This window comes from Homo sapiens, chromosome 22, assembly GCF_000001405.40.
Source record: "Homo sapiens chromosome 22, GRCh38.p14 Primary Assembly".
NCBI lineage: Eukaryota > Metazoa > Chordata > Mammalia > Primates > Hominidae > Homo > Homo sapiens.
The window spans coordinates 44,646,898-44,669,277 of NC_000022.11; the positions used below are offsets into that span (position 1 = coordinate 44,646,898).

A 22,380-nucleotide genomic window follows, 5' to 3' on the forward strand; every position below is an offset into this window, starting at 1 on the left:
GGGAGGTGGCGGCAGAGCAGGGCCCAGCAGTGCAGGTGGGGCAGGGAAATGGGGAGCAAGCTGATTTTAAGCAAGCAGCATCCTTCAACCACCTCCCCCAGGTCTCCTGTCTGATCACAGTTGGAACTCCCAGCCCTGGAGACTACATCATTTCCTCTGATAGATTCCCATCATAGTCAATTTTTTTTTTTTTTTTTTTTGAGACAGAGTCTCACTCTGTCGCCCAGGCTGGAGTGCAATGGCGAGATCTCGGCTCACTGCAACCCCTGCCTCCCAGGTTCAAGCGATTTTCCCACCTCAGCCTCCCGAGTAGCTGGGATTACAGGCACCCACCACCACGCCTGGCTAATTTGGATATTTTTAGTAGAGACCGGGTTTCACCATGTTGACTAGGCTGGTCTCAAATTTCTGACCTCAAGTGATCTGCCTGCCTTGACCTCCTAAAATGCTGGGATTACAGTTATGAGGGTATGAGCCACAGCACCTGGCCAGTTTTTTTTTTTTTTTTTTTAGAGACAGAGTCTTGGCTCTGTCACCCAGGCTGGAGTGTAATGGCGTTATCACAGCTCATTCCAGCCTCAAACTCCTGGGTTTCAAGCAGTCCTCCCACCTCAACCTCCCGTGTAGCTGGGACTACAGGCATGCATCACCACTCCCAGCTTTTTTATTATTATATTATTTGTAGAGATGGGGTTTCACCATGTTGCCCAGGCTGGTCTTAAATTCCTGGCCTCAAGCCATCCTCCTGCCTTGGCTTCCCAAAGTGCTGGGATTACAGGCAGGAACCACGGCCCCTGGCCCCTCATCATAGTCTTAAGTGTCGTTGTTGCCTTCAAAAACCTGTTGAAAAGGGGCTACCTCTTCCACAGAGAGGGCAGGGAACCCTGTATCTAGCTCCCTGAACTGGCACATGTGAAGCAGTATGGATTTGTGATGCTGGGCTGGTGCCAGGACTCACCTGTTCATTCTACCTTTGCCCACCGAGTGCCCACCAGGTGCCAGCCCCTGCCCCAAGGCTCTGTGGCCAGAGTCTGATTTCATCCCTGTGACAAATGTTCAGGGTAGATAACATTAGTCTATTTTACAAGTTATCTTTTTTTTTTTTTAGATGGAGTCTCACTCTGTCACCCAGGCTAGAGTGCAGTGGCACGATCTCAGCTCACTGCAACCTCTGCCTCCCAGGCTCAAGCGATTCTCCCACCTCAGCCTCCTGAGTAGCTGGGATTACAGACACGCATCATCACACTGGGCTAATTCTTGTATTTTTAGTAGAGACGGGGTTTCACCATATTGGCCAGGCTGGTCTCGAACTCCTGACCTCAACTGATCCACCCACCTTGTCCTCCCAAAGTGCTGGGATTACAGGTGTGAGCCACTGGGCCCGGCTTAGTCTGTTTTACAAGTAAGGAGCCCGAGGCCGAGAGAGACAGGTCTGCAGCTAGAAGGTGGCCATGTAGGCAAGTGGGGAAGGAAGGAATGAAGGAAGGAGGGAGAGAAGGAGGAGACAGGCAGGGCTCCAGTCCCAGGGATGGGAAACAAGGGCAGCGTCCTCACCAGGTTCAGTCCCAGTTGTAAGAGGCTCAAGAAAGGGGAGGACCTCAGAGGGCAGGGCGGGGCTGCAGCAAGTCACACACAGAGCAGAAGTGCTGTGTCTGCTTTTCCAGGAGGACAGCTGCAGCCTCAGATCCCCCAATTACTCAGAGGGGCCAATCCTACCCCTGGCTCACGCAGGTGGGGACCTCGGCCCCAGACCTCAGGCTGCACCCCACCCTCCCCCACTTAACATCCTCCTGACTGGCTTTCTGCTGATGGCTAGGAGGTTGTTCCCATCTGAGCCCAGGCCTCTCACTAATGCTGCTGACCCAAGGTTCATGGGGGTCCCCAGCCTCCAGCCTGGGGGAGCGGCCACCAGGGCCAAGACTGGCTGACTCAGTGGACATCTCAGGCCAGGCCTTCCTAGTCTGTGCTCCCTCATCCAATCCTCCCAGCTTTTCAGGAAGTAAACATCACTCCTCCCATCCCGGAATCGGGGGGAAATCCTGAGCCCAGAGACGTGGCATGACTTGCTTTAGACTGCAGGGAGAGAGACAGGCAGACGAGAAGTGGACACCCATTTGTGCCGTGATTCCTCCCCCAGGAATCTTTCTGCTACTCTGCTTGGCCTTTCGTGGTAAACAACTGGGCGTGTGAGCGAGCGGCGGCGTGCACGCCAGAGACAGATGGATACAGTGAGTGTGCTAAGCCCCAGGCAGCCCAGGCACTGAACACCCAGATAAAGCTGCCAGGCCGCCTTCTTCCTTCTCCGGGAGAACAGGAGTCAGTGGCCCAGGGACAGGAGCTGGACCAGAAGGGCTTTGGAAAGCCTCTGAAGGGAGGCCACGAAAGGATGGAGGCAGAGAAGGAAGGACCCTGTGGGGAGTGGTGCCCACAGAACACCGCCTCCATCGAGGGCTGAGTAAGGAGAAGCATGTTGTTTGAATTAGAACGCTAATATGGGACAGACGTGGTGGCTCATGCCTGTGATTGCAGCACTTTGGGAGGCCAAGGCAGGCAGATTGCTTGAGCTCAGGAGTTGGAGACCAGCCTAGGCAACATAGAGAGACCTCATCTCTACAAAGAAAAAAGTTAGCCAGGCATGGTGGCACACGCCTGTAGTCCCAGCTACTTGAGAGGCTGAGGTGGGAGGGAGGATCACTTGGGCCTGGGAGGTAGAGACAGCAGTGAGCCATGATCATGCCACTGCACTTCAACCTGAGTGACATAGTGAGACAACGTCTCAAAAAAAAAATTCAACAAATATTAGTCTTAGATAGAAGACAGGGCCAGGTGCGGTGGCTCACGCTTATAATCCCAGCACTTTGGGAGGTGGAGAGGGGTGGATCAGCTGAGGTCAGGAGTTCAAGACCAGCCTGGCCAACATGGTGAAACCCCATCTTTACTAAAAATACAAAAATTAGCCAGGCATCATGGCACATGCCTGTAATCCCAGCTACTCTGGAGGCTGAGGTAGGAGAATCACTTGAAACCGGGAGGTGGAGGTTGCAGTAAGCCGAGATCGCACCATTGCACTCCAGCCTGGGCGACAGAACAAGACTCTATCTCAAAAAAAAAAAAAAAGAAAGAAAGAAAGATAGAAGACAGAAAAACAAATGAAAAAATGTGAAAATAATTACTAAAAATGTTTCAAATGTAATTATCCACAATGCAAGTTTGCATCTAGCAAAAACATCAGCCCATGGATGTAAGAAGTTTAGAAAAATTCAAATAATAAATACAAAGCAACCAACATAGACATATTTTAGCTAAGCTGCTGAAAAACCAAATCTAAGGAGAAAGTCTTAAAGGCAGCTAGACAGAAACGGCATATAACATACAGGAGAATAGCAACAAAAATGACAGCTTACTACTCATCAGAAACAAGAGAATCCAGAAGACAATGGAACAATATCTTTAAAGCACTGCAGGGGGTGGGGACAGCAGGGGACTGTCAGACTGGAATTTTAGATCCAGCAAAAATGTCCTTTAAAAATACTGGCAGCCTGGGCGCAGTGGCTCACACCTGTAATCTCAGCACTCTAGGAGACTGGCGCAGGAGGATTGCTTGACGGCAGGAATTTGAGGTTACAGTGAGCTATGATTGCACTGCTGCATTCCAGCCTGGGTGAAAAAGCAAGACCCTATCTCAAAAATGAATACGTTAATTAATTAAAAATAAAGGTAAACTAAAGTCATTTCTGGTTAAATACAAGCTAACTTCTTCACTACCAGGTGTAAACTAAAAGAACTTCTAGAGGGGCCAGGCACGGTGGCTCATGCCTGTAATCCCAGCACTTTGGGATGCCGAGGTGGGCAGATCACTTGAGTCCAGGAGTTCGAGACCAGCCTGGCCAACATGGTGAGACCCTGTCTCTACTAAAAATACAAAAATTACCCAAGCATGGTGGCACATGCCTGTAATCCCAGCTACTCAGGAGGCTGTGGCAGGAAAATCGCTTGAACCCAGGAGGTGGAGGTTACAGTGAGCAGAAATCACACCATTGCACTTTAGCCTAGGCGACAGAGTGAAAGCCTCTCTCAAAAAAAAATTTAAAAAAAAGGAACTTCTAGAGGAACTTCAAGAACTTCTAGAGGGCTGAAGGAAAATTATGCAAGATGAAAACTCAGATATAGAAAAAGGGATGAAGAGCAATGGAAATAAGTATATGGATACATATAGAATACTATTTTCTTCTTTTCAATTTCTTTAAAAGACAATTGACTATATAAAGCAAAATAATAACAATGTATTGTGGGGGTTATAATATATTTTCAGGTAAAATATATAACAAAACAATAACACAAAGGATGAAGGAATTAGAGGATGATGTTGTAAGGTTCTCACATTTTCTATTAATTCAGGGTAATCTGTGATGAGTTAAAAATACACATTGCCAGCCAGGCACAGTGGCTCACACCTGTAATCCCAGCACTTTGGGAGGCCGAGGCTGGCGATCACGAAGTCAGGAGTTCGAGACCAGCCAGGCCAACATAGTGAAACCCTGTCTCTATTTAAAAATACAAAAAATTAGCTGGGCATGGTGGCGGGCACCTGTAATCCCAGCTACTCGGGAGTCTGAGGCAGAAGAATCTCTTGAACCCAGGAGGTGGAGGTTACAGGGAGCCAAGATCGCGCCATTGCACTCCAGCCTGGGCAACAGTGCAAGACTCTGTCTCAAAAAAAAAAAAATACACATTGCCTTTTCCCTCCACGATTTCTCTCTACTCCCGTGAGTTACTTGACTCTGGGGGCTCTGTTTGTCTGCCTGCAAGCTACACATTTCCCAGGACCACACCGCTGGCCTCTGCCACGAGCAGACTCCTTCTGATGGCCCTACTGCACAGGCGGGAACATCCTTCCCCCATCTTCAGAAAGTTTGAAGAGTGGAGAAGAGGGGAACGTGAACATGAGGAGGAGACTCCACGTGGAGCTGAAATACCAGACCCCACCCGCTGTTCTAAAACTTGTCTTGGACAATTGCCAATCAAGTGATGGAAAAATTGAGGGCTTTACAGTTGAATTTGTGAACTTAGAGTTCCTTCATTTAATAACTGCAGGCTTGATTTCATTTTCAAATCTCCCCTGGCTGCCATGACAATAGAGTCTTTGGAGATCTGGACATGTTAGAAACTCACACATCTAAACTTGGATGGAAATACACTGAAAGATATCAGAACTTTAGAACCTTTGAAAAAGTTGGAACGTCTAAAGAGCCTGGACCTCTTAAACCGTGAGGTTACTAGCCTGAATGAAGACTGGGAGAGGGTCTTCAAGCTCCTGCCCCAGCTGACCTACCTTGATCACTATGACCAAGAGGACCAGGAAGCCCCCAACTCAGATGCTGAGGGGGATGATGTAGATGATGAAGAGGAGGATGAAGAAGGAGGAAACAAGGAAAATGAGGAGGATAAGGATAGTGAAGAGGAAGAGTTTGATGGCGACGAGGATGAAGATGAAAGTGAAGATGTAGACTATGAAGAAGGTGAATATGAAAGTGAAGATGTAGACTGTGAAGAAGATGAAAATGAAAGTGAAGATGTAGACTGAAGAAGGTGAAGATGAAAGTGAAGATGCAGACTGTAAAGAAGGTGATGATGAAAGTGAAGATGTAGACTGTGAAGAAGGTGAAGATGAAAGTGAAGATGTAGACTGTAAAGAAGGTGATGATGAAAGTGAAGATGTAGACTGTGAAGAAGGTGAAGATGAAAGTGAAGATGTAGACGGTGAAGAAGGTGATGATGAAAGTGAAGATGTAGACTGTGAAGAAGGTGAAGATGAAAGTGAAGATGTAGACGGTGAAGAAGGTGATGATGAAAGTGAAGATGTAGACTGTGAAGAAGGTGAAGATGAAAGTGAAGATGTAGACTGTGAAGAAGGTGAATATGAAAGTGAAGATGTAGACTGTGAAGAAGATGAAAATGAAAGTGAAGATGTAGACTGAAGAAGGTGAAGATGAAAGTGAAGATGTAGACTGTGAAGAAGGTGAAGATGAAAGTGAAGATGTAGACTGTGAAGAAGGTGAAGATGAAAGTGAAGATGTAGACTGTGAAGAAGGTGAAGATGAAAGTGAGGATGTAGACTGTGAAGAAGGTGATGACGAAAGTGAAGATGTAGACTATGAAGAAGGTGAAGGTGAAAGTGAAGATGTAGACTGTGAAGAAGGTAAGATGAAAGTGAAGATGTAGACTGTGAAGAAGGTGAAGATGAAAGTGAAGATGTAGATTGTAAAGAAGGTGATGATGAAAGTGAAGATGTAGACTGTGAAGAAGGTGAAGATGAAAGTGAAGATGTAGACTGAAGAAGGTGAAGATGAAAGTGAAGATGTAGACTGTAAAGAAGGTGATGACGAAAGTGAAGATGTAGACTGTGAAGAAGGTGAAGATGAAGTCAGTGAGGAGGAAGAAGAATTTGGACATGATGAAGGGGTCAATGAAGATGAATATAAAATACGTAACAGATGGTGGGCCTAAACCCAACTATATCAGTAACTACATTAAATGTAAATGGAATAAATGCTCCAATTAAAAGGTGGTGATTGACTGAGTGCAGTGGCTCATGCCTATAATTGCAGCACTTTGGGAGGCCAAGGCGGGTGGATCACCTGAGGCCAGAAGTTTGAGACCAGCCTGGCCAACATAGTGAAACGCCATCTCTACTAAACATACAAACAAAATGGCTAGGCACGGTGGCTCACACCTGTAATCCCAACACTTTGGGAGGCCAAGGCAGGTGGATCACTAAGTCAGAAGTTTGAGACCAGCCTGGCCAACATGGTGAAACCCCGTCTCTACTAAAAATACAAAAATTAGCCAGGCCTGGTGGTACATGCCTGTAATCCCAGCTACTCAGGAGGCTGAGGCAGAAGAATCGCTTGAAACCGGAAGGAGGAGGTTGCAGTGAGCCAAGATTGCGCCACTGCACTCAAGCCTGGAAAACAAGAGCGAAACTCCATCTCAAAAAAAAAAAAATTAGCCGGGTGTGGTGGTGGACGCCTGTAACCCCAGCAACTCCTACTAAGGCAGGGGAATCACTTGAACCCAGGAGGTTGAGGTTGCAGTGAGTGGAGATTGTGCCACTGCACTCCAGTCTGGACAGCAAGAGCAAGACTCTGTCTCAAAAAAAAAAAAAAAAAAAAAAAAGAACAAGCTCAATAATTGAAAGAAGGTATAAAAGACCAGGTCCAGTGGCTCACACCTATAATCCCAGCACTTTGGGAGACCAAGGCCAGGAGTTAGAGACCAGCCTGGCCAACATGGCAAAACCTCATCTCTGCTAAAAATACAAAAATTAGCCGAGCCTGGTGGTGGATGCCTGTAATCCCAGCTATTCAGGAGGCTGAGACATGAGAATCACTTGAACTTGGGAGGAAGAGTTTGCAGTGAGCTGCTATCCCACCACTGCACTCCAGCCTGGGTGACAGAGCAAGACTCTGTCTCAAAAAAATATAAAAGAAGCTATAAAAATAAAATAGGCCAGGCGTGGTGGCTCACGCCTAAAATCCCAGCAATTTGGGAGGCCGAGGGGGGCAGATCACGAGGTCAGGAGATTGAAACCATCCTGGCTAACACGGTGAAACACTGTCTCTAATAAAAATACAAAAAATTAGCCAGGCATGGTGGCAGGTGCCTGTAGTCCCAGCTGCTTGGGAGGCTGAGGCAGGAGAATGGCGTGAACTCGGGAGGCAGAGCTTGCGGTGAGCCGAGATCGCGCCACTGCACTCCATCCTGGGCGACAGAGCAAGACTCCATCTCAAAAATAAATAAATAAAATAAATAAAAATAAAAATAAAATAAAATTGAGGCAGGAGGATCACTTGAGCCCAGAAGCTCAAGACCAGCCTGGGCAACATAGTGGGACCCTGTTTCTACAAAAACATTAAAACATTAGCCAGGTGTGATGGGGTACACCTGTAGTCCCAGCTCTTTGGAAGGATGAGATGGGAGGATCACTTGAGCCCAGGAGGTAGAGGCTGCAATGAGCCATGACCACACCACTGGATTCCAGCCTGGGTGACAGAGTTGAGACCTTGTCTCAAAAAAATAAATAAATAAAAATAAAAATTAGGCCAGGCACAGCAGCTCACATTTATAGTCCCAGCATTTTGGGAGGCTGAGGCAGCAGATTGCTTGAGCCCAGGAGTTCAAGATCAGCCTGGGGAACACGACAAAAACCTGTCTCTACCAAAAATACAAAAAAGTAGGCAGGTGTGGTGGCACATGCCTGTAGTCCCAGCTACTTGGGAGGCTGAGGTGGGTGGATGGCTTGAGCCCAGGAGGTTAAGGCTGCAGTGAGCTGTGATCATGCCATTGCACTCCAACCTGGGCAACAGAGCAAGATTCTGTCTCAAAAAAAAAATAAATAAATAATTTGAATTTAAATTACATTAAATTAAACCCAATATAAGCAGAAGGATGGAAATAAAGATGAGAGAAAATGAATAAAATTACAAACAAAAAGATAGAGAAAATTGTGACAAAACCATGGCCCCTCAAAGATGTCCATGTCCTAATCTCTAGAGTCTGTCAACATGTTACGATTCATGGCAAAGAGGTATTAAGATTGCAGGTTAAATTAAGGCTGCTAAAATAGGGAGATCGTCCTGAATTATTCAGGTGGGCCCAACGTAATCACAAGGTTCTTAAAAGTGGAAGTAGAGGCCGGGTGCGGTGGCTCATGCCTGTAATCCCAGCACTTTGGGAGGCTAAAGCAAGTGGATCATTTGAGGTCAGGAGTTCGAGACCAGCCTGGCCAACATGGTGAAACCTCGTCTCTACTAAAAATACAAAAAAAAAAAAAACAATAGCATGCCTGTAATCCCGGCTACTGGGGGAGACTGAGACAGGAGAATCACTTGAACCCAGAAGATGGAGGTTGCACGGAGCTGAGATCGCGCCACTGAACACTCCAGCCTGGGCAACAAAACAAGACTCTTCTCAAAAAAAAAAAAAAAAAAAGTAGAAATAGAGGCAGAAGAGGGCAATGATGAGATGTAAGAAAGATTCAGCTCACCATTGCTGGCTGTGAAGATGGAGGGAAGGGCACATGAACCAAGAAACGTGGGCAGCCTCTAAAAGCTGAAAAAGACAGGGGAGGGATTCTCTCTGAGAGCCTCCAGAAAGGGACACAGCCCTGCAAACATCTTGATTTGAGCCAGTGAGGCCCATGTTAGACTTCTAACCTTCAAAACCATAGATAATAAATTTCTGTTGATTGAAGCTATTAAGTTTGTAGTTCTATGTTACAGCAGCAATAGTAAACTAATACAAAAATGAACAAAACCCAATTGTTGGTTCTTTGGCTTTTTGAAAAGATTAACAAAATAACTAAAAACCTGATAACATTGTCCAAGAAAAAGAGAGAAAACACAAATTAACAATACTGGGAAAGAAAGAGGGGATATCATTACAGATTCTACAGACATTAAGAAGATAATAGGGGAGGCTAGGCACAGTGGCTCACACATGTAATCCCAGCACTTTGGGAGGCCAAGGCAGGTGACCTCACCTGAGGTCAGGAGTCCAAGACCACCCTGACCAACATGATGAAATCCCGTCTTTACTAAAAATACCAAAACATTAGCTGGGTGTGGTGGCGGGTGCCTGTAATCCTAGCTACTTGGGAGGCTGAAGCAGGAGAATTGCTTAAACCCAGGAGGCAGAGGTTGCAGTGAGCCAAGATCACACCACTGCACTCCAGCCTAGGCAGAAGAGTGAGACTCTGTCTTAAAAAAAATAAAATAAAATAAAAATAAAAATAAATTTAAAAAAGATAATAGGGGAACATTATGAACAACTTTACAGCAATAAATTTGACAACACATGTGAAATTAATAAATTTGACAACACATGTGAAATTAATAAATTCCACAACACGTGTGAAATTAATAAATTCCTTGAAAAACATAACTTACCAAATCTGACACAGGAGAAACTAAAAAAATCTGAAGAGCCTTATATTTAGTAAGGAAATTTAGATTTGTAATTAAAACTACCTCACAAAGAAAACTTCAGGTTCTAATGGCTTTTCCAGAACACTTTTTTTTTTTTTTTTTTTTTTTTGAGATAGAGTCTCACTCTGTCACCCATACTGGAGTACAGTGGTGTGATGTCGGCTCACTGCAGCCTTTGCCTCCTGGTTCAAGCGATTCTCCTGCCTCAACCTCCGGAGTAGCTGGGATTACAGATGTGCACTACCACACCTGGCTAATTTTTGTATTTTTAGTAGAGATGGGGTTTCACCATGATGGCCAGGTTGGTCTCGAACTCCTGACGTTAAGCAATCCATTTGCCTTACCCTCCCAAAGTGCTGGGATTACAGGCATGAGCCACCACGCCCAGCCTCTAGCACATATTTAAGGAAGAAATAATGTAACCAGTCTTATGGAAACAAGAAAGCAAGAAGGAGAGAAGGAAGGAAGGAGGGAAGGAAGGAAGGAAGGAGGGAAGGAAGGAAAGAAGGAAGGAAGGAAGGAAGGGAGGGAGGGAGGGAGGGAGGGAGGGAGGGGAAGGGAAGGGAGGGGAGGGGAGGGAGGAAGGGATGGAGGGGAGAGAGAGAAGGGAAGGGGAGGGGAGGGGAGAAAGAAAGAAAATTACAGACCAGTATCCCTCAACATATCCTCAACATGATTGTAGCCCATGGAATCCCCCAATATATACAAAGGGTGAAGAATCCTGGCCAAATGCGATTTCTCCCAGAAATGTAAGGTTACTTGAATATTTGAAATCAATCTGTGTGATTTGCCTCATTGATAGAATAAACAATTGATTTCAGGTCGGGCTTGGTGGCTCACGCCTGTAATCCCAGCACTTTGGGAGGCCGAGGCGGGTGGATCACGAGGTCAGGAGATCGAGACCATCCTGGCTAACACGGTGAAACCCTGTCTCTACTAAAAATACAAAAAATTAGCCGGGCGTGGTGGTGGGCACCTGTAGTCCCAGTTACTTGGGAGGCTGAGGCAGGAGAATGGCGTGACCCTGGCAGGTAGAGCTTGCAGTGAGCCGAGATTGCGCCACTGCACTCCAGCCTGGGTGACAGAGAGAGTGAGACTCCGTCTCAAAAAAAAAAAGATTGATTTCAATAGTTGCAAAAACAATGTTTTTAATCTTTCAGCAAATTAAGAATGGAAAGGAACTTCACCAACCGGAAAGAAACCCGAAGAAAATCTACAGCTAAAGTCACAGTGAATGATGAGAGGCTACAGGCTTTCCGCAGGGCTCAGGAACAAGGCAGGGAGGTCAGCTCTTGTCACTTCCACTCCACCTCATTTCAGAGGCCCTAACCAGTCTCTACGCACTGACAACTCGATCATCCATGTAGAAGACGCTAAGGAATCTACAAAACACCACCCAGGGCTTGGCTCCAGTGAGGAAGCATTGAATTGGGGAAGGGGGTGTCCAGGGTAGTCCTGGGAGGCCCAGGAAGGCTGAAAGGGGGAAGAGCTTCAGAAGCTGCCTCCACCCAGAAGGCCACCAAGGATGCTGAGTTATTTTAAGGCAGGCCAAGAGCCTGGGTTCCCTACACAGGCGAGGCTTGTTCTGGTTGGGAAACCTGAGAGCAGCAATTGAAGACAGATTGTTGGCGGGACTGCCCGGCCGCCGACCTCATGGCTAATCCCACTCCCTGGTACAGGATGTTTGGGCTGAGTGCAGGGACTCGCTGCCAGGTTCTCGGAGTGCACACTGGAGGGGTGGGGGGCAGGGTCTGGCTGCAAGGGAAAGGCCTCATCCCGGACTCCTTTTATCCCCACGTTATACCCCCTGTGGTGTGGGAGGGGCAGCAGGGCAGCAAGAGCCATTCCCACGGGGAGGGGTGAGTGACTGTCCCCAGGAAGAGGGCCTCAGGAAGTGGAATCTGGCCCACATCGCAGCAGGTCGGGTTCTGCTAAGTTCATCCTCTCCAGCACCGCTGCCTTGGCTCAGGGCCTGGACCTAAGCCACAGGCCCTCATAGGCAGGCAACCCCCCCACCCGGAACACTTGAGCAAGGAGGGCCAGAGGTTCCAGGCTCAAGGGAGGCTGTGGGATGCGCACTGGTCCGGGAGCCCCAAACCTGAGATCTGCTCTTTGAAGGAAGCTTCTACTGAACTACTGGAAGGAGAGGGGAGGCCTCCAGTTCCAGCTCCCAAGACCCTTTCTGGGCTTCCAGTATTACAACCTTTGTCACACTTCTGGGGCTGGCTTTCCTGGCCTGGAAGGTCCCCAGGGCAGGTCCAACTCACACCTGCACCCCAGCCCCAAACTCAGAGCCTAGCAGCCAGCAAACACTCCTCAAACTGAACCAAAGACTCAGCCGCTGTGGCCAGTGGGATCCGGTCCAGGCTGAAGACAGAAGGCAGCCTGGCTTTCCCCTGGGACAAGTCCCGGGAGCAGATGAGTCTGTGCTGAAGCCAGAGCCAGCGGGACAGGGCCAGGAGGCTGGCAGCTCTCTGCTAGAGCTCCCACTCCTCCAGCCCAGCCTGGCAAGGATGCCCACTGCCCAGGGCTGGGTCTCCTCCCCCAGTGAGCCTGCCGGGTCCTGTCACCATGGGGATAGCAGCCACAGATGGTCCGCTGGACAACAGGCACAGCCACCAACCTGGGGCACAAGCTGCTCACTCCTCTCCTGCCCTCTTCCCCACAGTCAGGACAGGAGAAGGCTGCCTCTTCGGGGCCCTGGGAGAGGCTCCCCACTGCCAAAGCCCTCCCTCCAGGGACCAACAGGAGCAGCCCTGTGGGTGGACAGCTTGGACCTATCCCTGGTTGCAGTGAGAAAGAGCCCATGGCCATTGAAAACGCAGGGAGGCTCAATAAGGGGGGCACTGGGAAGGGCTTGGTGGAGGGTTTGGGCTTGTGCTGGGCGATTTGGGGAAGATGTAAGCTCAGGACCCCACTCTGGATTGAACGTTCTTGGGAAACTGGGCTAGTTCTCTGACTCAGGTGTTTTTGTGTGCGTGGGTTTTTTTTTTTTTTTTTTTTTTTGAGACAGAGTCTTGCTCTGTTGCCCAGGCTGGAGTGCAGTGGCATGACCTCAGCTCGCTGCAACCTCCACCTCCCGAGTTTAAGCGATTCTCCCACCTTAGCCTCCCAAGAAGCTGGAACTACAGGCGCCCGCCACCATGCCCACCCGGCTAATTTTTGTATTTTAGTAGAGACGGTGTTTCACCATGTTAGCCAGGCTGGTTGCAAACTCCTGACCTCAGGTGATCCACCCGCCTTGGCCTCCCAAAGTGCTGGGATTATAGGCGTGAGCCACCGCGCCCGGCCTGATCTGGGGTCTTAGCAAACCTTGTCTATGTGGCAGGGAGCCCGCAGTGAGGCTAAGGCTGTGATTGATGAAGCAGCTGTCCTCACTCCTGTTTGCTGAGACACAGGGAGTTTGGACATTCGGTGGCTTGGACGATGCTCCTGCAGTTGCCTGTGCTCAGACACGATGACGGAGGGGTCTTGCTTTTGTCCTGACCCATCGCAGTCCTGGAGTGGCCTCGTCTGATGTTGTTGCTCCACGACATTGAAATTTGTGTGGTCCACAAGAAGACAGGCGGGTGTTTGGAGAGGGAGGGCTCCCCAGAGAAGGGGGAGAGCCATGGGGTGCACAACATGGGCCCTCCCCAGGGCCCCTCCAATGTTCAGGAAAATTACCAAACACGCTCGGGCAGGAGGGCTCAGCTGTGGGCGTGGCGGAGGGGCCAAACTCTGCCCTGAGGTCTCGGGGGGCTCTGGATCTCCTGTAGGGCTCAGGGGTGAGGCCGAGGGGCTGCCCGGCAGTGTAGCAGCCATCAGAAACCCAGAAACCTGGGGAGATGGCTGGGAGCAGGGGTGGACTCTCCCCCGTGAGAGGTCTGTGTGGGGCCCAGGGAAAGGCCCTCCTGACCTTGTTTGTGATAGTGGGCTCCATTCCCATTCTGTGACACAGGGCAGTGCCCTGTGTTAGTCCGACTGCATTACTAGGAAGGAATACCTGAGACCGGGTCATGTACAAAGAGAAGCGGTTTAATTGGCTCACAGTCCGACAGGGTGTACAGGAAGCCTGGTGCTGGCAGCTGCTTCTGGGGAGGCCTCAGGAAGCTTCCAATCATGGTGAGAGGCAAAGAGGGAGCAGGCATCTCACCTGGCAAGAGTGGAAGCAAGAAGCCAAGGAGAGGGCATCCCAGACTTTTAACCAACCAGATCTCCTGTGAATCAATGAAACAAGAGCTCACTCGTCACCAAGGAGGTGGCGCTAAACCATTCATGAGGGATCCGCCCCCATGAGCCAATCCCCTCCCGCCAGCCCCCAGCTCCCGCGCTAAACCATTCATGAGGGATCCGCCCCCATGAGCCAATCCCTCCCGCCAGCCCCCAGCTCCCGCGCTAGGAATCACTTTTCAACAGGAGATTTGGAGGAGACAAACACTCCAACCGTATCAGCCCCCAAGGTGGAGCTGGCACTTCCAGAGTCCAAAGGAGCCCAGAACCTCCTGAGAGAGACACAGCCGAGGGGCAAGCTCCCCCAACCCGACCAGCCCTGGGCTGGGAGCAGAGGGTGGGGTCCTCAGGCCTGGCTGGAGTCCGAGTCTCTTCCAGCTCCCACAGACTACTCTCACTCCACTTGCCAACCTGAGCTCGGCACACAGGTGTGGTGCACATATGTGGTACTCAGGTGTGATGCCCAGGAGTGATGCAGAGATGGGGCACACAGGTGTGGTGGACAGATGTGGTGCTCAACTATGAGGCACAGGTGAGGCATTTATATGAATCTGCAAGGTATCTTTCATTCCCCAGATGTTCACCAAGCACCTACGGTGTGCCAAGCCCTGTGCTGTATACACAGAGCTGACACAGAGCCGAGAGCCAGGATCCTTGCTTTCGAGGACTTTCCACCCTAGAAGGGAAGAGAAGGAGGTGAGGAGGGCACAGCAACAGCTGCTCCTGCTTGTTATGCTCTGGAATTCACCCCTGCGTGGCCAGGGCTGAGGACCTCCCTTCACCCCTGCATGTGAAGTGCTGCCACCAAGCTGAGCATCTGAGACCAAAGGTCATGTCTGAGAAGCTAAAACGCAAAAGAAAAGCAGAGCACACGATGGGGAAAATACACACAAAGGTCATGTCGTTATTATTCAGAAAACTTTATTTCCCCTTCAAATCACAAAATGCTACACAGACACTACCTTTCTTTTTTTTTATTATACTTTAAGTTTTAGGGTACATGTGCACAACGTGCAGGTTTGTTACATATGTATACATGTGCCATGTTGGTGTGCTGCAATTAACATTAGGTATATCTCCTAATGCTAACCCTCCCCCTCACCCCACCCCACAACAGGCCCCGGTGTGTGATGGTCCCCTTCCTGCACAGACACTACCTTTCAATCACAGTCAGATCTGCAAGTCAAGAGGAAGGGCCCTTCAGCAGCTGCAGGGGGCGGGGTGGTCAGGGTGGCAGGGGTGAGGCCTGAGAGTCGAGGTAGCAGGTGTTCCAGGAGCCCCAGGCAGAGGCTGAGAGCTGCTTCCCTGTCCGGCCTGTCATCAGAAACTGGCTTCTGAGGTCATTTTCACCTCTCTCAGGAGACGCTGCAGCCCTGTTTGGGACAGAGTCTCCATCTTCCTTACACACCCCTGGCTGGCACGAGTGTCCCATGAAAGGTGCCCTGTGGGCACAAATGTGTGTAAAACTGTAAAGCACATGCTTCAGGTGGGTAAGCACCTCCAGGAGGATGGAGCAGTGTTTGCCTGGGGAGGAGCCCATAGGGGCTTCCAGGTTCCAGTTCTGCCAGTGAGTGCTGGCGACGCTGGTGAGCTTGGGTGAGCTTTTTCCACATTATTCAAGTTCTTTTATACAGATAATATTCTTTGTAACATTTTAAGCACTCTATGGAAGGAAAAATAATCTCGAAGCACCCAGGCAATCTCACAGCCCGGGAGCTCTGGATGGAAGGCCGTGGAACAGGGGTCCCATCCCGGGCAGAGAGGCTGGGTGGCAGAAGTCCCAGGCTCCAGTCACAGCCTTGCCGGGTATCCTGGTTTCTGGTGGCCGCTCTAACAAATAGCCACAAACTTAGAGGCTTAAAACAACACAAATTTTGGCCAGGCATGGTGGCTCACACCTGTAATCCCAGTACTTTGGGAGGCCGAGGCGGGTGGATCACTTGAGGTCAGGAGTTTGAGACCAGCCTGGCCAACATAGGGAAACCCCATTTCTACTAAAAATACAAAAATTAGCTGGGCGTGGTAATCCCAGCTACTCAGGAGGCTGAGGCAGGAGAATTGCTTGAACCTGGGAGGCAGAGGTTGCAGTGAGCTGAGATCACACTATTGCACTCCAGCCTGGGCAACACAGCAAGACTCCATCTCAAAAAAAAAAAAAAAAAAAAAAAAAAGAAAGAAAAGAAAGAAAAAAAAGAAAAGAAAAGAAACCCATAAATTTCTTCTCTTACAGTTCTGGAGGCTGTGGTGTGGGTGGGGCTGTGCTCCTTCAGGGGCTCTAGGAGAGAATCTGGTCACTCATTGCCCTTCTGGCTTCCAGAGGCACCTGCATTCCTTGGCTTGTGGCCATTTCCTGCAGCTTCAAAGCCACAGAGGTGGCATCTTCCAATCTCTCTCTGTTCCCATTGTCATTTCGCCCTTTTCTCACTCTGACCCTCCTGCCCACCTCTTATAAGGACCCTTGTGATGATGTCAGGCCCCCTGGGAGAATGCAGCACCTTCTCCCTATCTCAAGACCCTGATTCACATCTGCAAAGTTCCTCTCGCCATAAGGAGTGCGTGAGGCCACAAATTCACAGGCTACAGGGATCAGGACATGGAATTCTTTGAGGAGAGGGCCATTATTCTGCCTAACACATGGTGTGGCCCTGGGTTAGTCACTGTGCACTGTCGGGCCTGTCTCCCTGACTATGGTGACAGGGGACAGGGTAGGGTCCAGGGGTGCCCCCCAGTGCACAGAGCCCTCAGACAAGTCAGGTTTTCACTCAGTCCTTCAATGGCACCAAAGGCCCTCTTGGCCTAGGCTACACAGGGGCAGTGGTGGGAGGTACCCAGACGCCCCCATCAGAGAACTACATTTCATACAGGGCTTTAGATTCACAGAGCTCTTTTCTTAGCTGCAGGCTATAAACAAAGGCTCATTAACTATGTTTTAACGGCTCCATCCACCAATGGATAGGCAAATAAATGAAAGGATAAACATGTGAAATTAGCAAGTGCAATGGTCCCCATTGCAGGAGCAAGGAGCCTGGGGTCCCTCAAGAAGGGACTCAGCCTTAGTATTCAAGCTGCAGAGCCTGTGCCCTCTCCCTCCGATACATTGCCACGGTGCCCCCCTCGCCCTCAGGGTGTCAGGACGGTCCTGGCACGTGGTGGGTGCTGGCCACATCTGCTCACTCAGAGAAGAAGCGAAGGAAATGTGAGGTCAGGCCGCCACTGTGGCTGGGGCAGGGGCCTCACTTGAGCCTCCCAGCAGCTTCCCACAGTCTCACGTGACTGAGCAGCAGAAACACACACAGGCTGGGTTTCCTGCCAGGCCCCAGAGACATGCTCAGCTCTCACAGGGAGGAAGAGGCCAATGGGCTCGTGGTCACTGCCAGAGCTATGACAGGCACCCGCGTGCCTTTGAGGGGGTCCAGGTCTCAGCTGCCTTCTGGGTCACCTGAGGCACCTTCATGTTGACCCCAGTCCTGGGCCCCTCAGAGGAGAAGAGCTCAAAACCCTCTGAAAGCCAGCAGCATGGGCTCCAAGCCAGGGAGCCTGGGCTCAACCCTGGCTCTGTCAGGACTTGCTGTGTGGTCCTGGGCATGATGTATAACCTCTCTGAGCCTCAGTTTCCAATTCTGTAGAGTGGCAACAATAATATCTATCTGTTGGCTGGGCACGGTGGCTCACATCTGTAATCCCAGCACTTTGGGAGGCTGAGGCGGGCGGATCACGAGTTCAACAGATCAAGACCATCCTGGCCAACATGGTAAAACCCGTCTCTACTAAAAATACAAAAATTAGTTGGGCGTGGTGGTGCACACCTGTAGTCCCAGCTACTCGGGAGGCTGAGGCAGGAGAACCCCTTGAACTCAGGAGGCAGTCGTTGCAGTGAGCCGAGATCACGCTATTGCACTCCAGCCTGGTGACAGAGCGAGACTCCATCTCAATAATAATAATAATAATAATAATAATAATAATAATGATATCTATCTGTTACAGTCAGGGTCCCAGCAGAAGGCAGAGCTGACCAGGTGGTTCATGTTCACAGAGGCGTGGGCAGGTTAGGGAGAGCCAGAGGCCAGCAAAAGAGGGAAGCTGCTACCAGCCCTGGGGCTGCAGAAGGGAGGGAAGGAAATGGTGCTTCCCCCGGAAGCCAGTGGAGCTAAAGCCTGGCAGAGCATCCGGGAAAGAGCTGTGGTCAGCATGCAACCCGCAGGGACTGCAAGGGTCAGCAGAGGGCAAGAGGAGAAATGCCTCATTCTCTCCGGCTGATCTCCAGCAACTGCCTCCATGGGTCAAATGTAACCAGGTGGGGGATGCCGTCCACCCAGGTCAGCCTCAGGGAGCACAAAGTAGGCAGTGAATGGATCTGGGGAGCAGGGGGCGCCACAAATGACGTGGCCAGAACCACGCACCATGGGGTCATGTATTCATTTACTCACTGATTCTTTCAACAAATACCTATTAGCCACCTTCTAATACGTGCCAAAGACTGTTTCCAAACACCCAGAGATACTTTGGGGAAGAAAAGAGACAACTCTCCTCTCTCTCAGGGAATTCATGAATTTCTGAATAAACTACACCATAAAGAAATAACCAGCCGGGCGCCGTGGCTCACGCCTGCAATCCCAACATTTTGGGAGGCCGAGGTGGGAGGATCACCTGAGGTCAGGAGTTCAAGACCAGCCTAGCTAACATAGTGAAACCCTGTCTCCACTAAAAATACAAAAAATTAGCCAGATGTGGTGGCGCGCGCCTGTAATCCCAGCTGCTCGGGAGGCTGAGGCAGGAGAATCGCTTGAACCCAGGAGGCAGAGGTTGCAGTGAGCCAAGATTGTGCCACTGCACTCCAGGTTGGGCAACAAGAGTGAAACTCCATCAAAAAAAAAAAAAAAAAGAGAGAGAGGGAGAGAGAGAGAGAGAGAGAGAGAGAGAGAGAGAGAAAGAAATTTAATGAACATTTTTTAAAAAAAAAATCCAATTAGAAAATAGGCAAAAGACATGAACACACCTACCACTCATAGGATTTACAGATGGTAAATAAGCTCTCAAGATCGTTTTGAATCTTTAACATCAATAGTCGTTAGAGGAAGGCAAATTAAAACCATGAGATCTCACTACACACCTATCAGCATGGCAAAAATAAAACACAGGGACAAGACGAAATGCTGGTAGGGATGCAGAGAAACTGGATCACTCAAGCTTTGCTGCTGGGAAGGCAAAGTGGTACACTCTGGAAAACATTTTGGCAGTTTCTTAAAAATCTAAACATGCAACTCCCATACGACCCAGCAATTACACTCCTGGGCACTCTTCCCAGACAAATGAAAACTTATGTTCACACAAAAACCTGTACACAAATGTTTATAGCAGCTTTATTGGTAATAGCCCCAAACTGGCAATCAACCCAGATAGTCTTCGACAAGTGAATGGCTAAACAAATTATGATGCACCCATTCCATGGAATGCTGACCACTCCACAATAGCAAGGAACAAACTACTGAAACACAAAGCAACCTGGAAGAATCTTCAGGGATTTATGCTGAGTGAAAAAAGCAATCTCAAAAGGTAACATACTGTATGACTGCATTTATATAACATGCTTGAAATGATAAAATTACAGAAATGGAGAACAGATAAGTGCTTGCCAGGAGGGAGGAGGGAGGGAGATAAGCACATAAAAAGTCCACGGGGGGGTCCTTTGCTGATGGAATGTTCTGTACCTTGATGGCATCTATGTCAATATCCTGGTTGTGATATTGTAGTATAATTTTGCAAGATTTTACCAGTGGAGAAAACTGGGTCCAAGACATCTCTACTGTTTCTTATAGCTGCATGTGAATCTACAATTATCTCAAAATAAGAAAGTTTAGGCTGGGCGTGCTGCCTCACACCTGTAATCCCAGGATTTTGGGAGGCCCAGGCGGGTGGATCACCTGAGGTCAGGAGTTTGAGACCAGCCTGGCCAACATAGTGAAACCCTGTCTCTACTAAAAATACAAAAATTAGTCGGGCATGGTGGCAGGCACCTGTAGCCCCAGCTACTCAGGAGGCTGAAGCAGGAGAACCACTCGAAATCAGGAGGCAGAGGTTGCAATGAGCCAAGATGGCACCACTGCACTCCAGCCTGGGTAACAGAGCGAGACTCGGTCTCAAGAAAAAAAAAAAAGAAAGAAAGAAGGAAAGTTTAATTAGAAGTGGGGGAGGTCCTAGTGGTCACACACCAAGAGGCTGGATTAGATGACCTCAAAGGTCCCTCCAAGGCCAGGACATCCCTCTTGGCAGCACGGGGCTCAGAACAGCTCCACCTCCTTCTGGCACCTCTTGGGCCGTTTCCAGCCCCACCCCAGTACTCGATCCAGGCACTGTCTGCCCAGTCTAGATGCCACCCAGACACTTTAGGCCCCTCTGTCCAGATGCCCTCTCCTCCCTCTAGGATGCCCCATCCTGCAGTTCAGGCAGAGCTGCTCACTCCCAGGGCCCTATGGACCCCATTAGAGTACCTGGGGTCTGGCCGGGATGCTTGCTGTCCTGAAATCTGGTCACCAGGAAGGCCGGCCATCTGATCTGCCTCATGTCAACACTGTTTCTGGGGGATGAGTGGCTTAGCGTCAAACAAGCACAATGATGGAAGGGGAAAAAAAAAGCTTTACAACTGAATATGGACACAAATATTTGCACAATTGCATTCTAAAACATTAAAACAATCACTACACCAAAACACAATAACCATAACCATCACCGCCCGAATGCCCACAGCCTGGCCTCTGGTACAGGACTTGCGGCTTCTACCAGGCACTGACTGTCAATCCTTTCGGGGATTCCTGGGACAGACACCACTGCTCCCCGCCCACTGCCCCCACCACAGCCACGTACCAACGGAGAGGTACTTAAACAGGGTGAGGCTGTTTAAGTGAAGAGTGAAAAGAAGCCCTTTTCGAGACACTGGGGTGTGGGATGTGGGTTGTGGGGTGCAGGATGTGGGGTGCTGGATGTTTCCACCAGGGCAGTTCTTCTCAAACTTTACTGAACTCTGGAACCACCCAGAAGGCTTGTTAAAATAGGGGGCCCAACCCCGAGTTTTGCTTCTGTAGGTCCGGGGTGGGGCCAGGGACTCTGCACTAACGGAGGCCACACTTTGAGAACCACAGCCCTGGGCTGTTTTTGGTGCCAGGCCCATTCGTCTTCCCCTCCCTCCCCGCTCCGCCCGCGGCTGGACCCCGATCCCCGGGACAGGGACTGAGTCTGACCGTCTGATTTGTCCTCCCGGCTTCTAGCGCCCCGCTCAGGTCGGGGCTTGGGGAGGGGGCGCTCTCTGGACGTTTGCGGCCCGCCGAGGGGTGGGGTGAGGGCGTCACGGGCCGATCCGGGCCGCCGGGTGACCCGGGACGCCCCCTGCCCCGGCGGGCGCCGCCCACAGCCTGCGCAGTGCTCAGGGGCGGAGGCCGGGAGGGGGCCCAAGCGCCAGCCCCCCAGCTCCGGCGGACCCGGGTGGGCGTGCCCGCGGACCCGCTTGCCGCACTTAGGCGAGTCTCCCCTGCAGCGCCCCGAGTCCCTGGGGGCTGCGGCGGCTGCGGGCGCCCCCGCGCGGGCCCGAGGGGCGGGACGCGGCGGAGCGGGGCGGGGCGGGGCCTCCGCGGCCCCCTCCCCCGGCCCCGGGCTCCGGCTCCGGCTCCGGCTCTGGCTCTGCGCGGTGGCAGCGGCGGCGGCGGCGCGGGGACCGAGGTGAGCGGCGGCTACGGGTCCGGAGGCCCGGCCGGAGAGGGGACCGGGTGGCTGGGGTTGGGGGGCGGCACGCGCGACCCTGCGGAAGGGGGGGCCCCGGGGCGGTGCCGGCGGAGCGGCGCGCGCGTGTGTGTGCGCGCGTAGGTGCGCGCGCGCGCGACGCCGACTGCGGGGCCCTAGGGTGGGGTAGGGGTCGGACGGAATCTGCGGGGCAGGGGCGGCCCCCTTGGGTGAAGGTCCAGCCTCTCCCACCCCAGCCTCCCGGGACCTCCCGAGCTCGTTCTCTCCCAGCCTCTCTCGCTCGCCCCCCGCCCCGCCCCCTTCCCTCTATCTCTGAGTTTGTCCGCGTCTCTGTGGGTGGGTCTCCGTCCAGCCGCCCCGTGTCCCCATCTCCTTCCCCGACACCGCTCTCTCCCCATGGCAGCTCTCCCCTCCCTCGCCATTGCTCCCCCTAATAGGGCAAACAAAGATG

The 22,380-nt window shown here is 50.8% G+C and overlaps 1 protein-coding gene, 1 long non-coding RNA gene and 1 pseudogene across 4 annotated transcripts in view, besides 1 other annotated feature; 2 read left to right on the top strand and 1 right to left on the bottom strand.

Annotated features, from left to right (window-relative positions):
• On the top strand, positions 4,938-5,645 carry ANP32BP2 (acidic nuclear phosphoprotein 32 family member B pseudogene 2; annotated as a pseudogene).
• Positions 5,853-6,032: an enhancer, noted in NCBI's record as "active region_19212". NCBI's record gives its function as "activates an Ori minimal core promoter by ATAC-STARR-seq in GM12878 lymphoblastoid cells {active_cell/tissue: GM12878}" and the evidence as "EXISTENCE:reporter gene assay evidence [ECO:0000049][PMID:35858748]".
• On the bottom strand, positions 15,103-21,686 carry LOC124905132 (uncharacterized). Of its 2 annotated transcripts, XR_007068127.1 has the most exons (3): positions 21,434-21,686; positions 20,687-20,772; positions 15,103-18,102 (listed from the first exon to the last, which is right to left on the bottom strand). It is a non-coding gene; the product is annotated as an uncharacterized LOC124905132 (long non-coding RNA). The 2 variants fall into 2 exon arrangements; XR_007068126.1 differs by lacking the exon at positions 15,103-18,102 and having other exon boundaries at positions 19,545-20,772; positions 21,434-21,539.
• The window catches only part of PRR5 (proline rich 5), a 68,931-nt gene continuing 68,404 nt past the window's right edge, over positions 21,854-22,380 (top strand). For both annotated transcript variants that reach the window (NM_001017528.3, NM_001017529.3), the window contains exon 1: positions 21,854-21,908. The gene's annotated coding sequence lies outside the window, so the exon portion shown is untranslated. The remainder of the gene's footprint in view (positions 21,909-22,380) is intronic.